The sequence below is a fragment of the Homo sapiens genome, chromosome 12, assembly GCF_000001405.40.
Source record: "Homo sapiens chromosome 12, GRCh38.p14 Primary Assembly".
NCBI lineage: Eukaryota > Metazoa > Chordata > Mammalia > Primates > Hominidae > Homo > Homo sapiens.
In genome coordinates, this window is record NC_000012.12 from 2,404,644 (window position 1) to 2,427,133 (window position 22,490).

General features: G+C 48.2%; 1 protein-coding gene across 56 annotated transcripts in view, besides 3 other annotated features; it reads left to right on the forward strand.

The window, feature by feature from the left end:
* Window positions 1–22,490, forward strand: part of CACNA1C (calcium voltage-gated channel subunit alpha1 C) — a 727,171-nt gene that overhangs the window by 433,864 nt on the left and 270,817 nt on the right. Inside the window, exon 1 of one of the 56 annotated variants that reach the window (XM_047429520.1) lies at window positions 14,690–16,928. The exons of the other annotated variants lie outside the window; for them this stretch is intronic. The gene's annotated coding sequence lies outside the window, so the exon portion shown is untranslated. Of the gene's footprint in view, window positions 1–14,689; window positions 16,929–22,490 lie in introns of those variants that run through there. 56 annotated transcript variants of the gene reach the window in all.
* Window positions 5,022–5,784: an enhancer, noted in NCBI's record as "H3K27ac-H3K4me1 hESC enhancer chr12:2518831-2519593 (GRCh37/hg19 assembly coordinates)". NCBI's record gives its function as "activates a minimal SCP1, AML or CMV promoter by ChIP-STARR-seq in primed H9 embryonic stem cells {active_cell/tissue: H9 hESC(primed)}" and the evidence as "EXISTENCE:reporter gene assay evidence [ECO:0000049][PMID:30033119]".
* Window positions 10,940–11,439: an enhancer, noted in NCBI's record as "H3K4me1 hESC enhancer chr12:2524749-2525248 (GRCh37/hg19 assembly coordinates)". NCBI's record gives its function as "activates a minimal SCP1, AML or CMV promoter by ChIP-STARR-seq in primed H9 embryonic stem cells {active_cell/tissue: H9 hESC(primed)}" and the evidence as "EXISTENCE:reporter gene assay evidence [ECO:0000049][PMID:30033119]".
* Window positions 20,248–20,788: an enhancer, noted in NCBI's record as "NANOG-H3K27ac-H3K4me1 hESC enhancer chr12:2534057-2534597 (GRCh37/hg19 assembly coordinates)". NCBI's record gives its function as "activates a minimal SCP1, AML or CMV promoter by ChIP-STARR-seq in naive H9 embryonic stem cells {active_cell/tissue: H9 hESC(naive)}" and the evidence as "EXISTENCE:reporter gene assay evidence [ECO:0000049][PMID:30033119]".

Below are 22,490 nucleotides of genomic sequence, written 5' to 3' on the forward strand. Positions count from 1 at the left end.
TGCATGGGGGGCCCTGGGTTCCAGAAGATCAAGTGGCCAAGCACATGAAGACAAATAGTTTGTCTCGTCAGCTTCTGGGGGTCACTTGTTCACATGGGAAGAAACCAAGCAGTGGAGGTTACCATAGAAAGATTACACAGCCAAAGTTTGTGGCTGGATTTTTTTTGTGGCTTTTCTTTGTGAAGAGTTAAGCATGAAGGACCGAGGGTATCCAGGAAGAAGAGTAGCTTTGGGATTATCAGGAAGGATCCACGTACATGTTTCTGACTTCTTCTCAAATTGCCTGGAGCAGTGCACAGGACATAGTAGATCTTTCCATAAACACTGCTAAACTGCACAAGGAACTTATTCTGTTAAGGGAGCTCCCTACCTCTGTTTCCCCACCTGACAGGCATGCTAGTTTAGACTCCTTCGAGGATAACTCGGCTACTCCCTGTGGGATATCTGGAAAGAATACGGACGGGATATAGATACATTCTACTGATCCAAGTCACTTTAAATTTTTTAAAAATTTTAAATAATTATAGGTTCATAGGAAGTTTCAAAGGTAGCACAGAGGCAGTGCCCTTCACCCAGTTTCCCCCAATAGTCACACCATATGTACATAACGATGGCACAGTATCAAAACCAGGAAACTGACTTTGGAACAACGTGCATGTATAGTTCTGTGTTGTTTTATCATATGTAGGTTCATGTGACCACTGCCGCAGATGCAGAACAGTTCCTTCGCTATGGAGATCTTCCCCGTGTGCACATTTAGACACACCCACCCTTCCTCCTCATCATCCCTAACCCCTGGCAACTACTTATTTGTTCTCCATCTCTATAATTTTGTCATTTCAAGAATGTTATATAAATGGCTTTTCTTGCGTTTCTGTGGATTCGTTGAACATTTTTTAGAACTCCATTTTTATCTACCTCTAGTGTTTTTGAGTATATCTCTTCGTGTAGCTGTTTTGTGGTTGCTCTAAGTATTACATTATATATACATAATTTATCAGTCTACTGGTACTACTTTTTTCCAGCCCAAATGAAGTGTGTCTGTCTCACTTTTATCCTCACCCATTTATGATAGAATTGCCTTAGGTATTTCCTCCACACACATGAGAAATGCATGTGTTACGATTTTTGCTTCAACTGTCAAAATTTAGAAAACTCTAGAGGAGACAGAAAGTGTATTCATTTGCCCATATTCTTGCTCTTTCTGTTCTTCCTTACTTCCTGATAACCCAAGATTCCTTAAAAAAATCATTTCCTTTCTGCTTAGAGAACTTCCTTTTGCCATTCTTTTAGTGTAGGTCTGTTGGTGACCAAGTCTATTAGTTTTCTTTCATCTGTGAAAATACCTTTATTTCCCCTTCATTTGTGAAGAATATTTGCACTGGATATATAATTTGGTTGACACTTTCCTTCATTAGGCACTTGCAAAATGGTATGCTACCTCTTTCTAATACTCCTGGTTTCTGATGAGAAATATGCTGTCATTTGAATTATTTTCCCCCCTGGGCAAGGTGACATTTCCCTTGCACTACTCTCAAGATATTTTCTTTGACTTTGGTTTTCAAGGGTTTGACTGTGATATATCTTGGTGTGGATTTCTTTGGGCTTATCCTATTTTGGCTTCACTGAGCTTCTTGAATCTGTAGGTTTATGTCTTTTGCTAAGAAATTTTCAGCCATTATTTCTTTGAGTACTTTTTCAGCCCCATCCTCCTCTTTCTCTCCTTCTGGAACTCTGATGACATGGATGTTAGAGCATTTGTTATAATCCCACAGGCCACCCAACTCTGCTCACTTTTTAAAGATTATTTTCTCTCCATTCCTTATATTAGGTAATTTCTATTATTCTACCTTCAAGTTCATTGATTCCTTCCTTCGTTGTCTATAATCTACTATTGAGCCCATTCATTGAGTTTTGAAATTTCATTTATTGTTCTTTTTACTTTTAAAATGTTCATTTAGCCTTCTTTATGTCTTCCATTTTTTTACTGAGGCTCTGTTTCTTTGCTGAGACTTTCTGCATTTCCACGGTTTCAAGCCTGCTTGTAATTGCTTGTTGCAGCATTTTACAGTAGCCACCTAAACATTTTTGTCAGATAATTCTAACATCTGGGTTATCTCAGTGCTAGTGTCATCCAAGTGCCTTTTCTCATTCAAGTTGGTGCTTTCCTGTTCTTGGTATGAGGAATGATTTCCAATTGGAACCTGGATGTTCTGGGTATTATGCAGCTCCGGATGTTATCTGAAGCCTTCCCTTACAGCTGCTTTCCTTTGCCACTGACCCAGCAGGGAGGAGGGATGCCACCATCTTGCTATTCCAGTAAGGGTGGAAGTCAGGTTCCCACTCGGCCCCCATCAGCACTCAGTGAGGCAGGGCCTCCTCATTACTGCTGGCGTGGCTCAGGCTCACTGCCAGACCTCTGCTGATACCACCCTGGCTGGAGGCAGAGGGGAGCCTCGTTACTGCCTCACCGACACCGCAGCGAGGGAGAGGCCTCATTACCACATGGTGAATGTCCTGGCGCTCCCTTAGACCTCCTCTGACACCACTTCGGCAGGGAAAGGGGGGCACACCTCATTACTGCCTAGTTGGGGTGGAAGTTCAGTTTTCTCACATCGTCTCCACCGACACCATGTGGGTACTGGGGAGCCTCATCATGACCCAGTGGGAAGGAACGTCCTTTTGATAATAGCCGTCCTGATAAGTGTGCAGTGGACATCGTCTCCACCGACACCATGTGGGTACTGGGGAGCTTCATCATGACCCAGTGGGAAGGAACGTCCTTTTGATAATAGCCGTCCTGATAAGTGTGCAGTGGACATCGTCTCCACCGACACCATGTGGGTACTGGGGAGCCTCATCATGACCCAGTGGGAAGGAACGTCCTTTTGATAATAGCCGTCCTGATAAGTGTGCAGTGGACATCGTCTCCACCGACACCATGTGGGTACTGGGGAGCCTCATCATGACCCAGTGGGAAGGAACGTCCTTTTGATAATAGCCGTCCTGATAAGTGTGCGGTGGACATCGTCTCCACTGACACCATGTGGGTACTGGGGAGCCTCATCATGACCCAGTGGGAAGGAATGTCCTTTTGATAATAGCCGTCCTGATAAGTGTGCAGTGGTATTGATTTGCATTTCCCTAATGACTAGTGATGTCGAGCATCTTTTCATGTGCATATTGGCCATTTGTAGATCTTTAGAGAAATGTCTATTCAAATCCTTTGCTTATTTTTATATTAAGACAGAAAATGTTAGACAATAACTATTCTCCTCCAGCCAAACACCACAAGAAACACTGCGGCTTCACCCACTCTTCCCCCAGCAAAGGCCAAGTGGGGAACCTCAACGTCCATCCTCATCAGGCTGTAACAAGGCACCCCAACTCTTTTGCCGGGGTGGCATCAAGACAGGTGGGGAACCAGGAATTTCCAACACACGCTACAACATGGGTGAACCTTGAAAACATTATGCTAAGTAAAATAAGCCAGACACAAAAGAACAAATATTACATGGTTCCACTTACGTGAGGTACCCAGACTAGGCAAATTCACAGAGACAAAGAGTAGAATTGTAGTTTCCAGGGATTGGAGGGAAGGGATCATGGGGATTTATTATTTATTAAATACAGAGTTTCAGTTTGGGAGGATGAAAAAGCTCAGGAGATGGGTGGTGATAATTGCACAACAATGTAAATGTGCTTAATGCCACTGAATGCTACACTTAAAAATGGCTAACGCAGTAAATTTTATGTTATGTATATTTTACCACAGTTTTACAAAGTCTGGGTCTTGCTAGACTTCCCCTTTCCTGGGCTTTTGGCTAACGAGAGGAGGCTCTAATTGGGGCTTTTTTTTTTTTTTGGTCTGTACCTTTTGATGTTTCTGGGTTCCCCAGGAATCCAGAGAACTCTGCTATGTTATTCCTCAGGTCCTGGGGTTCCCTTCTGGTCTACTGCTTCTCTCCTCTTTTAGAGTCTTTTTATGTTTCTTTTACATATAACGTACAGGGATTTTGGTTGCACTTAGTAGGGAAAGATGTGTCTACTCCATCTTTCTGGAAGCAGAAGTCTCCAGGCCACTTTATGTGAAGAGTTTTGTCCACATTTCATTTCTTTTTGCTCACTAGTGAAGTCTTATTCATTTCAATTTAGTATATAAAACTTATAGCTGAAAAATATATTTCATTTTCATGGAAAAGGACTCCTACTTCTGAAACCTTGCATTGATATTTCTAGACATTTCCAGGGCACCAGTCATAACATCAAGTAAGAAGCCTATTGCCATCCTCCGTGACATCCCCTTCCTCAATATCTCTTTTGCCCAATGTTGCAATAATACTAATCCCAGGTGTGTTGACTAGTGCCACTCATAATCACATTAGTTTATCCTACTTATGCTGATCCTTGTCTTCTTGTCCTGTTAGTGTCTTCAGCTCGTGGCTCTGTTCCTTTTACACTCTTGTTAGCACATGTGATCATACACACTTACATTGGACTTGTCCTTTTGTCCTCATGATAACTGCTGACTGTTAAAACACTTCTTGGATGAAGCACCCTGATGTAGCACCCTGGTAAAAGCAATGGGCTTTGAATTGGGATGTTTGGGTTCCGACCTAGTTTTGCCACTAATCAGCTGATCGTCTCCTTCCCCTAGATGTTTAGCCTCAGACCCCTCACCACTAAAGTGACAGGTGTAGAACTAGATCATCCCTAGGGACCCATCCTCTGGGAAGTATCTTCAGGTTCAGGCTAGTCAGCTCTGATAAAGTCAAGAGCACCGTCAGACCAGGAGGTTGAGAATGGAGGTATCACCGTAGGTGTGCCCTCCTTGATGAGTTTTTGCTGATGGATATATTAACCAGCAGTGGACGGTCACTACAGGTAGAATCTTCAACGAGACTCCTATTTTAGGTTTCTCACCATAATTTCTTAATTTTTGTTGGCAATTGTGCTTGAAGCAAAAACCAAATTAGAAATGATGTTTGTCTGTTGTTCCCCTTGAAGTTAGGTGCCTTGATTGCGGGTCCTCTTTCTGTCTGCCACTTCCTCGCAGTCCCCCCCAAACCCCTTATAGTCCTCCCTGAAGCTGCAGTGTTCACCCTAGCAAGGCAAGTACCTGTGCTCCCTTGGTGCCTCCCATGGCACTTGTGCCAAATGCAAGAAAGAGGAGCCAACGCAGGGCCCGCTGCCCAGCAGGGGAGGTGGAGGCAACGCAGGTGTGATGTACACAGTCCCTCTCAGGTCAGGGAGGAGAGGGAAGTAGGGCTAGGAGGAAAATGGGGCAGGAGAGGAAGGGAGAGCACAAGGGAGAACTAGTGGAAGGGAGAGGTGGATGAGCAGGACAGCTCGGAGAGACAGGAACGCAAACAGAGGAGAATTTTCGCTCGGGGTGGGAATGAATCATCCTCACCTGCCAGCCGCGGGCCTCAGCAAGCTGGCAGCTTCGTCCTCTCAGACTGTGGGTTGCTTTTAGCTGTCAGCCTTGGATGGTGGGCTCATGCATTCTGTTCCCACTCCAATCTGCCAGAGGGACAGGGTCCTTCCCCGCAGCACTGAGGCTTGGCCAGTCGTGATGCCTATGGCGACCGCAGAATCGACCTCAACGAGCTCGTCGCCGGGCACCGTTTTAGCAGCCCCACCACCCATTTTTGGAAACACAACCCTGGCCTCCCATTCACAGCAGAAAAGGGCACAAGGCCCTTCGTGTCCCACCACCTCCCTTCTCTCTGGAATCACTGTGGCTCTGGTTGTGGAAGTTTGTCATGAGTGGACCCCAGCAAGGAATTGGTGCATGATATAGTTTTCGTTTTCAAAGGACCATGATTTCCATGGATTACTTTGTGCAAAGGATGCCAAAACCAAATATTTAAAGTAAATGAGGAAAAAATATGCTTGGAGTAAAAAGCATCTGGACCCTGTGCATGTGCGTGTGCATGCGTGTGTGTGTTCCAGGAGCTGACTCTAGCTGTGAGGATGGCTCGCCTGTGTGTGTGTGTGTGTGCATGCGTGTGTGTGTTCCAGGAGCTGACTCTAGCTGTGAGGATGGCTCGCCTGTGTGTGTGTGTGTGCGTGCACGCATGTGTGTGTGTGCATGCGTGTGTGTATTCCAGGAGCTGACTCTAGTTGTCAGGATGGCTCCCCTGTGTGTGTATATGTGTGTGTGTGCGTGTGCATGTGCGTGTGTGTGTTTCAGGAGCTGACCCTGGCTGTGAGGATGGCCTTCCTATCCTTCCCTTCTCCTGGCTGCCCTATCCTTCCCTTCTCCTGGCTGCCTCCCATTGTGACATGGATTTTTCTCTCATCTTTCTCTCCCTACTCCCCTTGCAGCATGAGAGGCCCAGTACCTGTAAGACTACCAGGCTCCATCACTCTCCAGAGAGGCCAGTTCTGCCTCTTAGGAAGGGCCTAGATCAGCGCAAATCTCACCATCATGATGTCCCCAACTGCTCCGCCCGTGTATGTGTTGGGTATTTCCAACTGTCCCCAGCAAAGCCTGCCTCCTCCCCACCTCCTGAGCCCTGTGGGGTATCAGGAGCCTCACCACTCGAGCGGGGAAGAAGGACAGAGCAGCAGCCTCAGCCCACAGCAGCCCTGCGGTGGAGAGCTGCAATGAAGGCAGGCCTTATATAGACAGGAAAAGCAGGGTGACTGGAAGTACTCAGTCACGGGCAGAGTCAGAGCCCTAGGACCTTTAGGGACAAGGCAGGTGAAAGACCTGTTAGAATTAGGGAGTGAGGGGCTGGAGGTGGGGGGTACACTGGAATGTTACGGTTCTATTTTTCGCTGAGTGAAAACCACTAACAACAACTACAGAAGCCCTGCTCCTTCTGTGGGCTAAAATGGCACTGCTGGCTGTGTGTTCAGAGCAGCTAAGAACCAGGAGGAACAGAGCCCTTGCCTCTGTTCCTAGTCCCCGGGCCCTGGCCTTGCCGGAGTCACCGGAGGCAACCAAGAGCCCCTCGTTCAGAAAGCAGCCATGAGGTAGCCTGGCCACCCTTTCACCTTTTACACCAGGGAGCCCAGAGGTTTCCAGGGCTTGCTGAAGGGAATCCAATAAGAAGAAGATTTCAGATCCTCAGGTGTGTGCAGGGGATTAGCCCAGCGCTGCTGTCTGTCCACCCTGAGGCTCCTCCCCCATCCTCAGGATTGCTGGGCTGGAGGCAGAAAGCTGCACCATCCTTCTGAAGCTCTGCCCCAAAGGAATTGCAGATGTCTGCTTCCTTTCATTTGGGGAGAGAAGTCGGAGGCACAGGGGCCATGAAAGGGGAAGGCGTTTGACTTAGATAGCCTCTCCCTCCTGGCTGTCCCTCTGAGCTGTCCTGTGGAGCCAGGAAGAGGCTTTCTGGGCCCCAGAGCTGTCTTCTTGCTCGAGCTAGGCCCTGGCTCCCCACGCCCAAGACCCCGGCTCCCCACGCCCAAGCCCCCCCCATGCCCACCTGCCACTCCACTGCCCTTAGCTCGTTACCCCTGTGGCTGTGGAGGTCCCTCAGGAAAAGCAGCTCCCCAGGCAGGGGTCCCTTCCTTCCCTCACCACAGCCCCAGCCCCACTGCAGGACGCCCAGGATACCACAAAGGCCCCCCACAATCCCTGCTGGCAAGGCCGTCCTTCCACAGCACACACCGGAGAGGCCTTCTCTATGTGCCTCGATAACCTCAGACCTGGCTTCTTAGAGAAACGGGTCAGGCAGTGACGTTTGTGGCTTTGTACTCCATTAAGTGCTCTTCAGGCCCTCCCTGGATCTTTTGAGATCATGGGGATAAGGGGCGGTGCCCAGCAGACCTGGCTGCTTAAACCATGGTCTCCAGGAGATAAGAGATGCATAAGCTCCAGGAGCCCAGCAGTGAGACAGGCGCCCCCGCGGCCAGAGGCTCACACTGTATGCTTTGCTTTAGGGCTCGGGAGAAAGCACATTGAGCTGCGAGTGAGTAAGTTTGCCCTATCTCTGTCATTAATTCAATTTAATTCAGTCACCTCCGCTTCATAGTAAGTGCTCAGTAAATCATCTCACTTTTTTTTGAACCAGAGAATAAATATATTGATCAATATGTAAATAAATAGATATTTAAGAGATGCCTATACAATGGATTTGCTGAGTTTTCAAACTATTGAAATCAGGAGGAAGGGGCTATGCTGGAGGAATAAACGTGTCTGAATGTAGGTTTGTCTCATGTTGAGTACGTAGCAGAGAACCTATTCTACGGGATAGAATTGTGGAATAAATGACATGAGGGCACACTGAGAAAAGACTCTGAAAAGCATGCAACTCTGTCCAAGCCTAACAATTCAAAATGTAAGTAAAATTTATGATATAAGTGAATTGGCTGCTAGAAAGATACTCTCATAAAATAAGCTGGTTCTTGGGCCGACCCAATGCTTTTTTGTTTTCTTGAGAAGGAGTCTCGCTCTGTCGCCCAGGCTGGAGTGCAGTGGCGTGATCTCGGCTCACTGCAACCTCCGCCTCCTGGGTTCAAGTGATTCTCCTGCCTAAACTTCCCACGTACCTGGGACTACAGGTGTGTACCACCACGCCCAGCTAATTTTTGTATTTTTACTAAAGACGTGTTTCACCATGTTGACCAGGCTGGTCTTGAACTCCTGACCTCAGGTGATCCACCCGCCTCAGCCTCCCAAAATGGTGGGATTACAGGCGTGAGCCACCACACCCAGCCTACCCAATGCTTTTTGAATGACTGCATGAACAAATGAAAGCAATTTGATAAAGCGTGAATGACTCTACCATCTATCCTATCCCCATAGGCCCCCTCCCCCAACACTCTTCCCCTCCTCAGTTTGAATTGCCATGTGAATTTATTGCTCCTGCCAAATGAAGTCAGCTGAGATGGAAATGTTAATTTATTGGACCAGACATGTGTCAACAGAGCTCTGATAAAATGCAGCGACATGCTGTTCCAAAGCCCGCTATCCCGAAACCTCCTACCATCCTGCTGCAAAACTGCTGTGTTTGAGGTTTCACAGCCCCTCTGGCTGGGTCTGGCCGCCGTCCTACCATCTCACTCAAGTCCCGCCGTCCCTCCATAACCTCATGTGAGACACACGGGTCCCCAAAGCCAACCTGACCTTTCCCACCTGCATCTTTGCTCACCATGGTCCTTCCACGGAGAAGGCCCTCCACTGCCATTTAGGCCATTGGAACTCTTCTGTCCTTTAAGGCCCAGCTCAAATGCCTCCCGTTCCTGAGCTAGAGGTGAGCTTCCCTTCCTCTTCCCCAGGCACTTCTTTGTTAGGGAACAGGAGTTTTCCTCTCCTGCTAGACTATAAGCTCCTTAAAAGCTGAGACCATCTGATGAGTTTTTAAATAACCCCCCACCCAAGGCTGCCCCCAAAACTCAAATCAGTGCCTTGCATAGCAGGGATGCAACATTAGGCAGTGCAGAGAGAGTGGGATTCAGAGTAAGACTGGCCCAAGTCCTATCCCGTCTCCGTTATTTGCTGGCCGTGGGACCCGGGATAAGTGGCGTAATCTCTGAGTTTTAGTTGCCTTATCTGTAAGATGGGGATGACACTAGTCACCCGTGTTCCAAGTGTCACTTGATTTACTGTCTGCACATGGCACTCACTCAGGACATAGCTGCCTGTCTCTGTATTCTCCTCACTCCACTAGAGCCCATCATTTTCAATATTTCTTTTAAAAGGACTAGCACTTAAGCAACACAAACTTCCCATTCCTTTTGTGGCTCAGAATTTGGGAATGGGAATTTTACTGAGATCATCAAAGGTGAAGTCGTACATAAGCCATGAGGCAGACACCAGCTTCCCGTGGATGGCCGGATTTTGATTGCCTGTGCTTAGTGGGAACAGAAGGGAAGGGAAGGACCTGGGAGGCCTGGATAGGAACTAAGTTCAGCTGGTGTCTTTATGCCTGCGTCAGGCTTCCCACCTACCAGTGTCAAAGGAAGGGCAGCGTCCTTTGAGATGTCAACAGCTATTCTGAGATTTTTAAAAAATGAAAGGGTTCTGTGTTCCGGGTGTCAGCTGACTGCAGCCTCTACCTCTGATTGAGTGTCACAGGGCATACGAGCTCATTAAAGGCTCTGAGAAGTCCTGTAGCAAAGAAACCTTTGGACTTTGCTTAACCCAGTGTTTCCCAAGTTTTTTGTACCCCTTACTGAATGTGGGCAGCCCTGAGCTGGAGATGTCACTTCTAGCCAGAGGGCAGTCAGGTGTCTGCCGGGGAGACCCTGGCTTCAGTTGGACAGGGGTGCTGGGATCACGGGCTTTCTTTCTCCCAAGAACTGGCCCAAAGGCCAGTTCTTTTCCCAGGGGACCCAAAACAGGGCTTACCGCCTCCTGGAGTCAGGTATGAGTCATGCCCACCGGGCTCTCTTCCCCAAGGCACCCGACACGGTCTGTGTGTGCCATGGGCTCCTGTTCCATAGGCACGCACACCCTCTTCTGCTGGGCAGATACCTCTGTGGCATGCGAGTGTGGGACCTGAACCCAGGTTCTGTCAGGGTGGCGAGGGGGCTCACGCAGAGGATCCACTTTTCTGTCTTGCTCTTGTATGTTTTCTCTTCCTATTTGCCTTTTTATTCTCCTTTGTATTTTTAAATGTTCCTCTCTAGTAATTTTTGCTAGTCTTTTTTATCTCTCACCTTGTTTCTTCCACTGTGAGTAGGCTCAACCATTCGCCTGTTGTCCTATGAGCCACATCCACGCTTTTCTACCTACGTTTCCAAACTTGAGCCTGGCCGGTACACTGACTTCCAAGCCTCCCGTGGAGGCCGCGCAGCGCCCCTGTAGTGCCCCATGGCAGCAAGCTGGTGACCTGAGCTGTGATCATGAAAAGGAAATATTCAGCTTTTCTTCCAAGTGGAAATACTTTATGTATTTTCTCCAAGGCCACAGAAAATGAAAATAAAAAACAGTACTGGCAGCAGGAATAACACCACCGTCCCAAGAAGAAGAAATGAAAACAGTGACACACTCTGTGGCTGCCGCTCTCCTCTGAGTTGGTCAAGCAGAGGCCCTGGGGAGGCAGAGGTCGGACAGTGGTGACCGTCAGTGGCAGTTACAGCCCTGTGTGTTCGGGGCCTTCCTGCTTGATGTGACCAGAGCTGAGCTTGGCGGCTCTCATTGAGCAGCTAATGCAGGAGTCCCCGCCATGGTGGCCTCGTCCCCCAGCCCCTCTCTGTCTTTGCTTCTCTCTTTGCCTACCTTTCTCTCCTCCAAGTGTGGTCAACCTGCCCTTTCCCTGGCCAGCTCTTATCAGGCACCCCTTCCCCGCATTTCCCGGCCACCCTTCTCTTATGCGCTGGGTGACTCTCAGTGCTGACTGCAGGCTTCTCTTCCTGCTCCTTCCTCTCCCCTTCCCTTTCTGTCCTCTCAGAGGAGCCCAGGTTTCAGGCTTTGCTGAGGTGAGGGTGTGGGGGCGGGACCTCTTCACGTGTATCCTCAAGCTGGTCCCTTCTTGTCCTGCGGGTCCCAGCTCCAGTGCCTCCTTCTCAGAGAGGCCTCTCTCAGCCCTGGTTGTTTTCCTTTGACAGCTCATCGCTATTTTAGAAAGGTCTTATTTGTTCACTCATTTACCGTCCTTCCCACCTGCGTGCACCTCCGTGACAGCACCCTTCCTTTATGGCTCGCTTTCTCTTTCTTCTCTTGTTCCCCACTCTATTTCGTGGGCCTGGAAAGTATCAGGCACATTGGAGATGCTCTATCGGAAAGGAAAAGGAATGAAAGAATGGAAGGAGTGGTGGAAGAAAAGGAAGGAGGGAAGGAAGGAGGGAGGAAAAGAGAGGGGAAGGGAGGAAGAAAAAAGAGAAGGAAGGAAGGAGTGGGGGACGATTGTAATATTTATAAGTTTTAACCCAATAGGGTAGCTGCTACCGTCTCCATTTTATAGAGGGGAAACTAAGGCACAGTGCTTAAGGAATTTGTCCCAGGTCAAACCACTAGTAAGTGGCAGCACCTGGCTCCAGAACCAGTCTGTCTCCAGACTCTGGGCTCAACCACCACGCTCTGAGCCTGCAGTAAGATGTACAAGGCAGAAGTCCTGTGGGTGACAATTGGGACTCCACCCACCATGCCAGGGAACGTCTCCATCAGAAGTGGGAGAAGAGGAGTTAATTTTTACTTGACACTGACTGTGGAAGTCATTATCTCAGACACAATTTCACTTCGTTTTCATCACAACCCTCTGAAAAGGACCCTTTACAAACGAGGACTCTAAGAATCAGAGAGGCTAAGGGACTGGCCAGAGTTCACACAACTAGCAAGAAGCAGAGGCCGGATTCGAACCCAGCTCTTCTAGCTCCACATCCGGAGTGTTCACATTCCTCATGCTACTTGGCTTTTCATCACAGACAGTCCTTTAGATGTTAGTGACTGCCTCTCCCTGTTGTGGAAAGTCTTGTTCCGTACACACCTCTCTTAAACATGCTTGCAGTGGATCAAGTGTGCTGTTGCAGTCACTTCTATACAATGTGGAGCAGCCAGTCCTCTGGCAAGGATGTCGCTTTGGTCCAATGGTGAAATCAGACCTAGCTCATGTCATGCTGATGTAGAAGGCCTTCTCCTAAAAGTGGCCGTTTCCATGCGTGGGGAGACTCCTTGTAGCTAGCCCATACTCTGCGATGCGGGTTGTATCTGTGGCTCCCGCCCGGTGATGTCCTGTCATGATCAGCTTCCAGCAGTTGTGACCCACTTGCAGTCATTCACCTTCACCTCATGGGCCTGCACGGTAGTGGCTACAGACACCCACAACAGGTTCAGTGGATCTCAACTCTGGCTGACAGTGCTTGTGGGTGCTTTTAAAAACGCTAATGCCTGGGGCCCTTCCCTGGCCGCTGTTTACCTTGTCTCTGGGGATAGGGCCCAGGCAGTTTGTTAAAAATTCCCAGGAGGTACGCGCCAAGGACCTCTTTCTGGCCTGTCGGATCAAGGGGCCCTGTGCGTGTGCTGCAGTCTGTTTGGTGGCATGTGACTGGCTGCAAGGTGGTCCAGGCGGATGACAAGGGAGAGGTAATGATGCTGTTAATCAGAAACATTAATCTGTGCTAATGTATCATCCCTCCCAGGTAGCAGAACGTTCTCATTCAGTTAAAAATCTCATCTCCTTGAAAAGGCCCTTGAGAAGTGAGTGATGTGAATGCTGACAGTTTTGGAAACCAGAGAGAGATTTTGGGCAGGAGACTTTTCACTGTGCTCCAATTCCCCCCTGCAGGTGGCTACCCCTCCCGCCTGTAGCAATAAAGATTGACACAGGAATGGCAAGGGGGGCCTCCCAGAGCAGACATTCTTCTAGCTGCATATTCAGCAAATACCTGTGCGGGGCCTCCCAGGTACAGGTGCTGGGCTCAGCAGGGACTTCAGTGGAGACCAAAACCAGGTGCAGTTCCTGCTGTTACTGGGCTTACATCAAGCAGAGGAAGTTGACCTTACTTAAGTGATTCTTTCCCACAGGATGAGGGAGCCGCTCCCTCTCTGCTTTTGGGTCCCTGTCTAACCTTCTGCCTCAGCTCGCTCAGCTGCATAGACAGATAGGCAGAACCCTAGCATTACGGCAGGCATCTCCCAGGCTGGCTTCTCCTGGGCTGCGGGTGGCCTTTGATTTTGGAGCCTCTGCTGCCCCACAGTGCTCCCCACCTCCCACCTCTTTTGCCTTTGGATGGGGTCTTCCACATTTCAGATGGCTATAAATACAACAGGTGCAAGTTCAGACGCTCCAAGGAGAGCAACCACTGCCATTGGGTTGTGCAGTAAGGTGTGAATGACTAACATCGAATCTGTCCTGAGAGTAGGTTTTAGTAGAGAGAGAGAACCTGGCAGAGTTGCGGGCCTGACGAGGGCAGGGGAAGAGCCTGTAAAACAAGCCCTGCCCACAGCAGACTGTTGCTCAGTTAGGCCAGAGCCCTGTGGAGGAGATGAGTGTTTGAGTGAGGAGAGAGAGGAGGAGGAGGGCAGGAAGAGGAGGAAAAGGCTCTTGTGTTATGTTCCAGTTATGCACCACAAGGACTGCATCATCCCGGGAAGGGCCCAGGATCCCTCCTCCAGCAAGTAAAATGAGTTTCAAAGAGCACTTGGGCAATCCTGATCAGTGGGACTCACCTTTGCCTGCAGGGAGCTGACACCCCTGGACAACTGGCCAGTGGAGCCTCTAGGGAGGTGGGGTCCTACAACCTGACACGAGCCAGGTTTAGCCTCAGATGCAGCCCATGCTGACCCCCAGTGGGAGCATGCTGACCCCCAGCTCCACTGCTTGTAGAGGGGATTGGGAGCTGAGGGGTTCTTTACCTCCTGGAGTCACAGAGCCCCTTATGGTCTGTTGGAAGTTACAGACCCCTATGGAAACATACAAACAAATGTGTACATGCAGCACTATATGTGATTTTACATTATAAAATAAGCACTAGGAGGGAGCAAAAGGATGGGGTGTTCATTTTACAGATTAGAAAACTGAGGCCCTCCGGGGCATAACGCCTTCCTGCAACCCTAGGCCTCTCTGCCTGTATTAGGCCATTGTTGCGTTGCTGTAGAGAAATACCTGAGGCTGGGTAATTTATAAGAAAAGAGGTTTCGTTGGCTCACAGTTCTGCAGGTTGTAAAGGAAACTCAGCACCAGCGTCAGCTTCTGATGAGGCCTCAGGAAGCTTCCAATCATGGCAGAAGGTGAAGGGGGAGCAGGAAATGTCACATGGCAAGATTGGGAGCAAGAGAGAGGGAGGGAGGAGGTGTCACACACTTTTAAACAACCAGATCTCATGAGAACTCCCTATCCCAAGGACAGCACCAAGACATGAGGGATCCACCGCCACGGCCTGAACACCCCCACCAGGCCCACCTCCAGTCCTCCAGTGTTGGGGATGACATTTCAACATGAGATTTGAGGGACAGATATCTGAACTATAGCACCACCATGCCAGTTCCCTTTCTTTCTGTCATCCCAGATCTACCATGAATCATGTGTCACATCAAATTAGACTCGTTAGGGCATAAGCAGGGGCCCCGCAGTCCAGAATGTTCCAAATAAATTGAGACTTGTCCATCTGTGTGTCCTGATTTGGGGGTTCAAAGAATAGTCCCTCTAGACAGGGGCACAAACCCTTCCTTCACACACAGTAGGCCCTTGAGGAATAGTGGTTGCAGCAATAAAGAAGAGAAGAGAATTCTCAAGGGTGTATGTGGCCTCTCCCCCTAAGAGATTTTGACTCTGCAATCCAACCTCAACCACACGGGAGAGAGGGCAGCCAGTGCTGAGGCTGGATGGGGGCTTCATACCTGTGTCATCATGGGTGCCGGGGCCCAGCCTGCCCTGTGCTAGGGTCACTTCCACACCATCTCTGTACCCGCCACCAGTCTCCAATTTGGCCCACATTGCACTTTCAGCCTTGCTCTGGCCCTGCCAAGCTTTTCGTAATGGGGTCACTTTGGCCATGGCCTCACCCCTCTGGATGTCAGGACAACGCAGCCAGACAGGGTAATCAGACTTAGGCAAAATGGTGTGTGTGTGTGTGTGTGTGTGTGTGTGTGTGTGTGTGTGTGTGTAGGGGGAGGGAGCATTCAACAGGGAGAGAATACCAGATAATAAAGAGCTACAGAGCCAACAGGGACATGGAGCCACTCCCACTAACTGAACCTCCCTCCTCTTTCCCTCCATCCTTGGAAGTTGCGTTCCAGCCAGCTGCCACTGTTAATTCATATGAGAGATTGGACCAGGGAGATGCCACCAGGCTTTCACCCCCGCTGTGATGCTGAGGCTGTGGGAGGGATGGTGTGGTTGACTGGGGCCACCTTCATTAGACAGAGCTGCCATCCTGATAAAGGAAAGGCTTCTTGTCTCAGAGCTGTGTCCTCCCACTGGCTTTTCTCCCTGCATGCTGTAACTGGTCATCTCAGTCCTGAAGCAGGTATGTGTGTTGGGCCAAGGTGGAAGGAGAGTGACACTGTTATTAAATTAACCCAGTCCCTTTCATTGCATCCTCCAAGTGAAGAACAAAAGGGATTTTGCATTTGCCCACAGTGTCTCTCTAAGCAAGGTCTCTGGAACATCTGTAGGAACTCAGAGACGTTTGGAATGGGCCAATAAAACATGGTGAGCATCCAGCAGCAGCCTGGGGTGCTGGGCAGAGCCGGGACCTGGGTAGGAATCACAGCAGGATTCCAGCCCTGGCTCTGCGCCTTGCATTGCTCTCACCTGGCTTCCATATCTGGAGGAACATACCTATTTCTCACGATCACTGTGAAGATGGAATGGGGTTTTGTATTTGAAGCTCTGTGTGCAGTTCTGGAGCCCCGAATGTCCTTGGGGGTGCTCTGAAACCTTAGTGCCTTTATCTCTTCTAATGGTAGGAAATGCACCCTTATTTTAGTCAGATCCTGTGAATTAAATTTTAAAATGGCCATAATAGCTAAGAAGGTAAACTATTAGTGACTAACTAAGTTGAAGTCTCCATCAGTGTCAAGAAGACAGTTTCATTTGCTGTTACATAAAGTTTTCAGATTGTTTTTCTCATACTTCCAACCCAAACGTGCAGAATATTTAAAGCTTAGCAAAAAAAATTATAGGGAACTTAGAAATATATAAAACATGTGATGATTGTAATTTTCTTGTGTTAACTGGGTTTGCAACTATTTTGCTAGGATAATCTGCCCAATTAACCTCTCATATAACTTCTGAAACTTGTTTCATAGAACACGTAAGGGCAAAGGAAAAGCAAGACTCAGTCAATGTCTGAAGCAAACTGGAGTCAATGAGGCAATGCCTGCTTAGAACTTTGCACGCTTGAAGTTTCATACTGTTAATTAAATCTGCCTCAATTCTTTTTTGAGGGACAAATGGGATTCACCATGGGAAAGAGAGTTATCTGAGAGGAACATCCCAGATTGGAGAAGGAAGAGGTCAACTCAGCCCAACTAGAGTAGTCCAACAGTTTAATTCTATCTCACTACAACATAAGCGTTCTGTCAGGTGAGCCTGCTAAGTTCCTTTCCTCTCTTCTCTTGGGTCTGTAAGAGTATCGCAATTCTGGCCGGACACAGTGGCTCACACCTGTAATCCCAGCGTTTTGGGAGGCCGAGGTGGGTAGATCATGAGGTTAGGAGATCCAGACCATCCTGTCCAATATGGTGAAACCCTGTCTCTACCAAAATACAAAAAATTAGCTGGGTGTGGTGGTGTGCACCTGTAGTCCCAGCTACTTGGGAGTCTGTGGCAGGGGAATCGCTTGAACCTGGGAGGCAGAGGTTGCAGTGAGCCAAGATCATGCCACTGCACTCCAGCATGGTGACAGAGCAAGACTCTGTCTCAACAAAAAAAAAAAAGCATCGCAATTCTCTGTCTCTTGTCATGGCCATGCTAGGACATGGGCAACCTGGTAGTGAACAAAATACCTTTCTCTGTTCCTCCACTCAGGGAAATCTACTAATACTTGGTTAGACTTTAATTTTTCAATTTTGCAATCTAGAAACAGAAAATACCCATAAATATCCCAAAATAGAAACAAAATGCGGCCCATTCAGTTTCCAAAAAGTAAACAAAGTGATTCTTCCTCCATGAGATGCCTGAATACATTCATAGTTGGCTAATTAAACTACCATAGAAACAATTATTCAATATAGGAGGAGAAAGAGAGGAGGAGGAAGGAGCGGGAGCATTAGCAGACATACATGGCTTTTGGCTAGGAAGATAGCTGTTACAGGCCAGTGGAATGGAGGGAAAATAACCCACGGAGGGCAGAATCATTTCTGCAGACAAGTCTATGAACCAAGCTGAGCCTTCGTCCTTTTTTACCAATAGAGTTTCCCTTCTTTCCCCTTGGTGCCTCCCCAGCCATCTGTAGGAAGAGGATCCCAACAAGCCTTCCTTCAAGTCAGTTTCAGAGCATTTCTGCCCTACAAGGACCTGGGTATATCTTGGATGCCTTGGGAGGCTCATTGAAGTACCATAGGATGGCCATGTTTTCCAGGTCATCTGAGATAACCCCAGCATAATCACCTGTGTCCCCCACAAAATTATTAATAGTTGCCCTCTTTAGCTCTCTAAAGTGCCCTTGTTTGAGTGCTAACTCGTGTGGCCAGTCCACATACCCTGCAGGGAGGGTAAAGGGCACCACCTTATGTGTCAGCGCTGACTGGCAGCAGCTGCTGGAGTGCTGTGTTGAGGAGGGTTCTGCAGTCGTGTTGTGGCTCAGCAAGCAAAGCCCTGGCAATGGGTTAACTGCAGCGGCCCGTGGGGCAAGTGAGGGAGAGGCAGCACTCCCTGCCGGCACAGAACAAACGCTGGCCAGGTCAGGGTGTGGGTTTCAGGCCAGCTCTGCTCCTAGCTTCCTGTCATCTGAGTGGGATCGTTTCCCTTCTCTGATGTTGGACCAAGATACCTGAAGTTTTCTTTCAATTCCATAATTCGAATCTCGTCCTCCATCGAGGATTAGCTTGGAAGGGAGCTCCGATGTCATCTAGCATGATTTCCCACTCCCTCCATCTAGTGGGGGATTGTGCAAGATAACATCCGAGCTCCCTTCCAACCCTAGAATCGTGTGATCCTATGGTAACTTTGTGAGAGGGCCCTCTCTGCTCCAGAGTGAAGCTGCACTTTGGGACGGATGTCAGCTAGTATCTAGTATTCTCATGGTGCGTTTTATAGTTGACAGAGCACTTGCATGTATCTGACCACAGTCACATGACTCTGGCTTTATTTTCATCATCTTCATTTTATAGGTGAAGAAATTAAAGCTAAGTAAAGGCCAAGTAAAGGGGACTCTGGGCTCAAACTGCCTGGGTTCAAGCACTTGCCGTAGCTCTCACAATATGTGTGGTTTGGGCAAGTTAATCTCTCAGTGTCTCAGTACCTTCATCGGTAGGATGGGGTAATATACTTACATCATAATGATGTTTCGAGGATTAAATGAAACGATTCATGCAAGCTGCTTGGGACACTGGTTGGAATATAGAACACATGTAATAAAATGAGTTGATAGAGTGAGTGGTAGAGGTGGTGGAGGTAGCAATTAACAGCAGTGGTAGTAGTATAGTAGTTACACCCAGCAAGTAAATGGCATAACTGGGACTCTTCTCAGAAACTGACCCCACAGTCTGTATGTGACCCCAGTGACCCCAGAATTTACTGCGCTGTGTCTACCTTAGGATTTATATCCACAGGTCAGAAGCAGCAGGCAAGGTAATGAGAAAAATAAAGATGATGTTTAAAGAGATGTTTTCCCCATCTAGCCCTGAGAGAGTATTGGCTGGGGAGCTGAAATTCTCCCCTCCTCAACCTCCGATAATCTGGTAAGGTCAGTGGCAGGTGCAGGGTGCTTGTTATGCCATTGCTGTACTATGGGCTCATGGCAGGTGGCTGAATGGACAAGCTCGTGCTCCCTCCCGCTCCCCCTCCCCTCCTCTTGGGAGAGACTGCCTGCGATGTCAGTGTTTCTTCAGTAACCCGCGCACATTATGTGGTTCCATATGGATCAGTAAATTTCCCCCAATCTCTGTATTACAAGGTCTGGTGCCTCATTAATGGCGTCTTCAGCGCCACAAGCTGAGGCTAACAGCTCTGTGTTTTTCCATCTTCAGTGGGTCTGCACACATTTTCAGCAATTTGCAGGAAAGACCTCAATTAGCCAAATTCCTACGTGACTCAGTGAAGGCATTCAGAATGCACTCAGCTGTCCATCCTCAGGTGGAGAGGGGTGATCTGAGAGGTCCAGAGAAGAGGCAGAAAGAAAAAGCAAGCGGGGAGAGGAAAAGTCAAGGGGGAGGGAGGGAAAACGGGGAGAAGGTGAGAGAAACCACAGCAGATGTGGAGGAGCGTGTGTGAGGACATGGTTATTTTCACCCAGCATGAGACAGATTCACTTCTTTCTTGGATGTTTGGTGTCTTGGCTAAAAATATGTCAACTGAATGTTGTCTCAGGGACAGGGAGATGGAGAGCATTAGGACACTTTGCAGAAAGCTCAGGCCTGGAACGGGGCTTTCTTTCACATGTGGGTAGGGGGTGAGTGCTTGGGCTATGCTGAGAGTGGGGCCCAGAGCATCGACAGTGCAGAAACTCACTTCTCCAAGAGCTTCAGCAGCTCCAGGACCCTTCTGCCTGCCTCCCTCTCCCAATTCCATTGTGAAGTGGCAAAGTCTGTTCCAGGTACTGTGTCCTGTGGGAGGGTGAGGAGGAAGTTGAGGAAACCTCTCTCCCAGAGACTGAGCTGGCAGAGGCCATGGGCATGGGCGCTGATAAGGGCCAGGAAGCGGGGAGGGTCCTAACACCATGACAAGGCCAGGTCCTTGTCTGCAGTGTCACAGGGCTGTGGTCCTCTATTGGCCAACAGTAGCTCCTCTGCACCTGGAGGAGGACGTGGGGCCCACTGGACTCACCTGGGCGACTGTCTGCACTGTGGGAGGGAAGGAGAGTCCAGAGGTCTGGTCAGGGACTGAAGCATGGCATGAGGCAGCCCTGGGGCTAATGCAGGCCCTGGCTGTCACATTCCCCAGGGAGGGATAGGCCCGGAATCATTGCTAGGTAGCATAGAAACCTAACACACCAAAAGCAGAGAATTGGGTAAATAAATTATAGTACAGCTATTCCTGCTACTAGAATGCTATAAGGTTATTGGAAATGATATTGTAGACAAAATTTGACAGTGTATTAAATGTTTAAAAGCTGTTGTTAAGCAAAAATAGGGAATATAAAATGATACGAACAGTATAATCGCAATTTTGGAAAAATACACACAAAGGAAGTAGATTAATCATATAAGCGAAAATGTCAGCAACAGTAGCTTCAAGGAAGTGGAATACTGCTCCTTTTCCTTTTCCTGTTTTTTGGGTGGGTGTCTCAGAGTTTTCTTAAATTTATAACATAGAATTTGTTATTTGGCTATTAGAAAATAAAATTATCGAGATTATAAGAAATAATTGGGACAACAGCAAGTCACATTTTGCTGACTTCTTATTGGCCATTTGAGAAAACTGAACCAAAGGATTAAACCATGAGAGCAGGGAACCCTGGTCCTTACCTTTACAATATAACCTTTTGCAGCCAGTCTTTAGAGGTGTGGCTTTAAATGCACTTACCTCATTTCCAGCCTGGGCTTCATGCTCTCCTCATTTGCAATGCTAAGCTTTTTATCTATTTTCCCCTCAAAGCTTTGTAGTTCACTTTAAAGACTTTACTGAAGGTGGAAAAGCATGGGAAGCCTGGATTATCCAATCCCAATGCCTGGGACAAATGAAAGGTCACAAGAATGAGAAGAAAAAGTTTCCAGAGGGTTTTTAGAAAGCCCCAAGAGACTTGGGAAGTCAAGTAATAATTTGGCAGGAGGGGTCTTCCTTGCTTTGGTTTGGGTGTGCCTCTTTGGATTTCGTGGTATTCTTGTTGGGGGAACAGATGACTATGTTCCTCATATTCTCGAAGGCATTTGTGGTGGGACTGAGAAATTAGCCCAGTCCTCATGGAAGAGAATGAGAGAGTAGGATACAGCTCAGAGCTGGGGGCAGGGAACACTGGTGAGAACTAACCCAGCACAGTTATTTTCATATACCCACTGAATTTCCAAATCTTATCAATCAATGAGCAGTACATACGCCCACCCTGTGCAAAATACTGGGTTAAAAACTGGGGGGTCTAAATATGATACATGCCTTTGCCGTGAAGGACTGGCAATCTAATTGAGAAGGTAATAAACCCATCTGAAGTTAATATTATCAGAAATAATTGACAACAGTGTGTGAGAGATGCCACAAGGTGAGTAGTACATGATTAAGTGCCAAGAGAGTGGCATAGACAGTGAGTGCTGGGTCTGTAAGAATGGGTAAAATCTGAGGATACATGCAGTAGATACTTCAGGTCTGGGGGAAATAATACAGGTAAATTCTTACAGATAGGAAAGCCCAAGCTGTATTTGAAAGGCAGTAGAAGGGTTTAGGATGCCCATGAAAATTGTGGTCAGAAAGGTGATATATCAGTTAGCTTGTGCTGCGTAACAAACTACCCGGATACTTAGTGGCTTTAAACAACCACCATTTATTAACTTACATTTCTGCAGGTTGGTAATCTGGATTGGCTCAGTTGAGCAGTTCTTCTGGACCTAGCAGGGCTCCACTGATCTTGGTTTGGTGTTCAAGTGTCTGCTGTCAGCTGGTGGTTTGCTAGAGATAGGCAGTTCATAGTGGCATTGGCTGATATGGCTGGGATGGCTGGGATGTCCTCTTTCCACATGGCCTCTCATTCTTTAGCAGGCTTTCTTGGCTTGTTTGTGTGATGGAAGAAAAGTTCTCAGTGTGAGAGGAGAAGCTGCAAGGCTTCACGTGGCCTACGCTTAGCTGTTGCACATTATTCCACCATATTCTTTTGGTCAAAGCAAGTGACAAAGTCAGCTCAGATTGAAGAGATGAGGAAATAGACTCTGATTCTGGAAAAGAAGAGCTGCAAAATATCGTGGCCATTTTTGCCATCTTCCACAGATGGGTTGGTTGGATTGGGTGCCAGACCAAAGAACCCTTTAGTAGGAAGGACATAGAAAGGATGTAATGAGC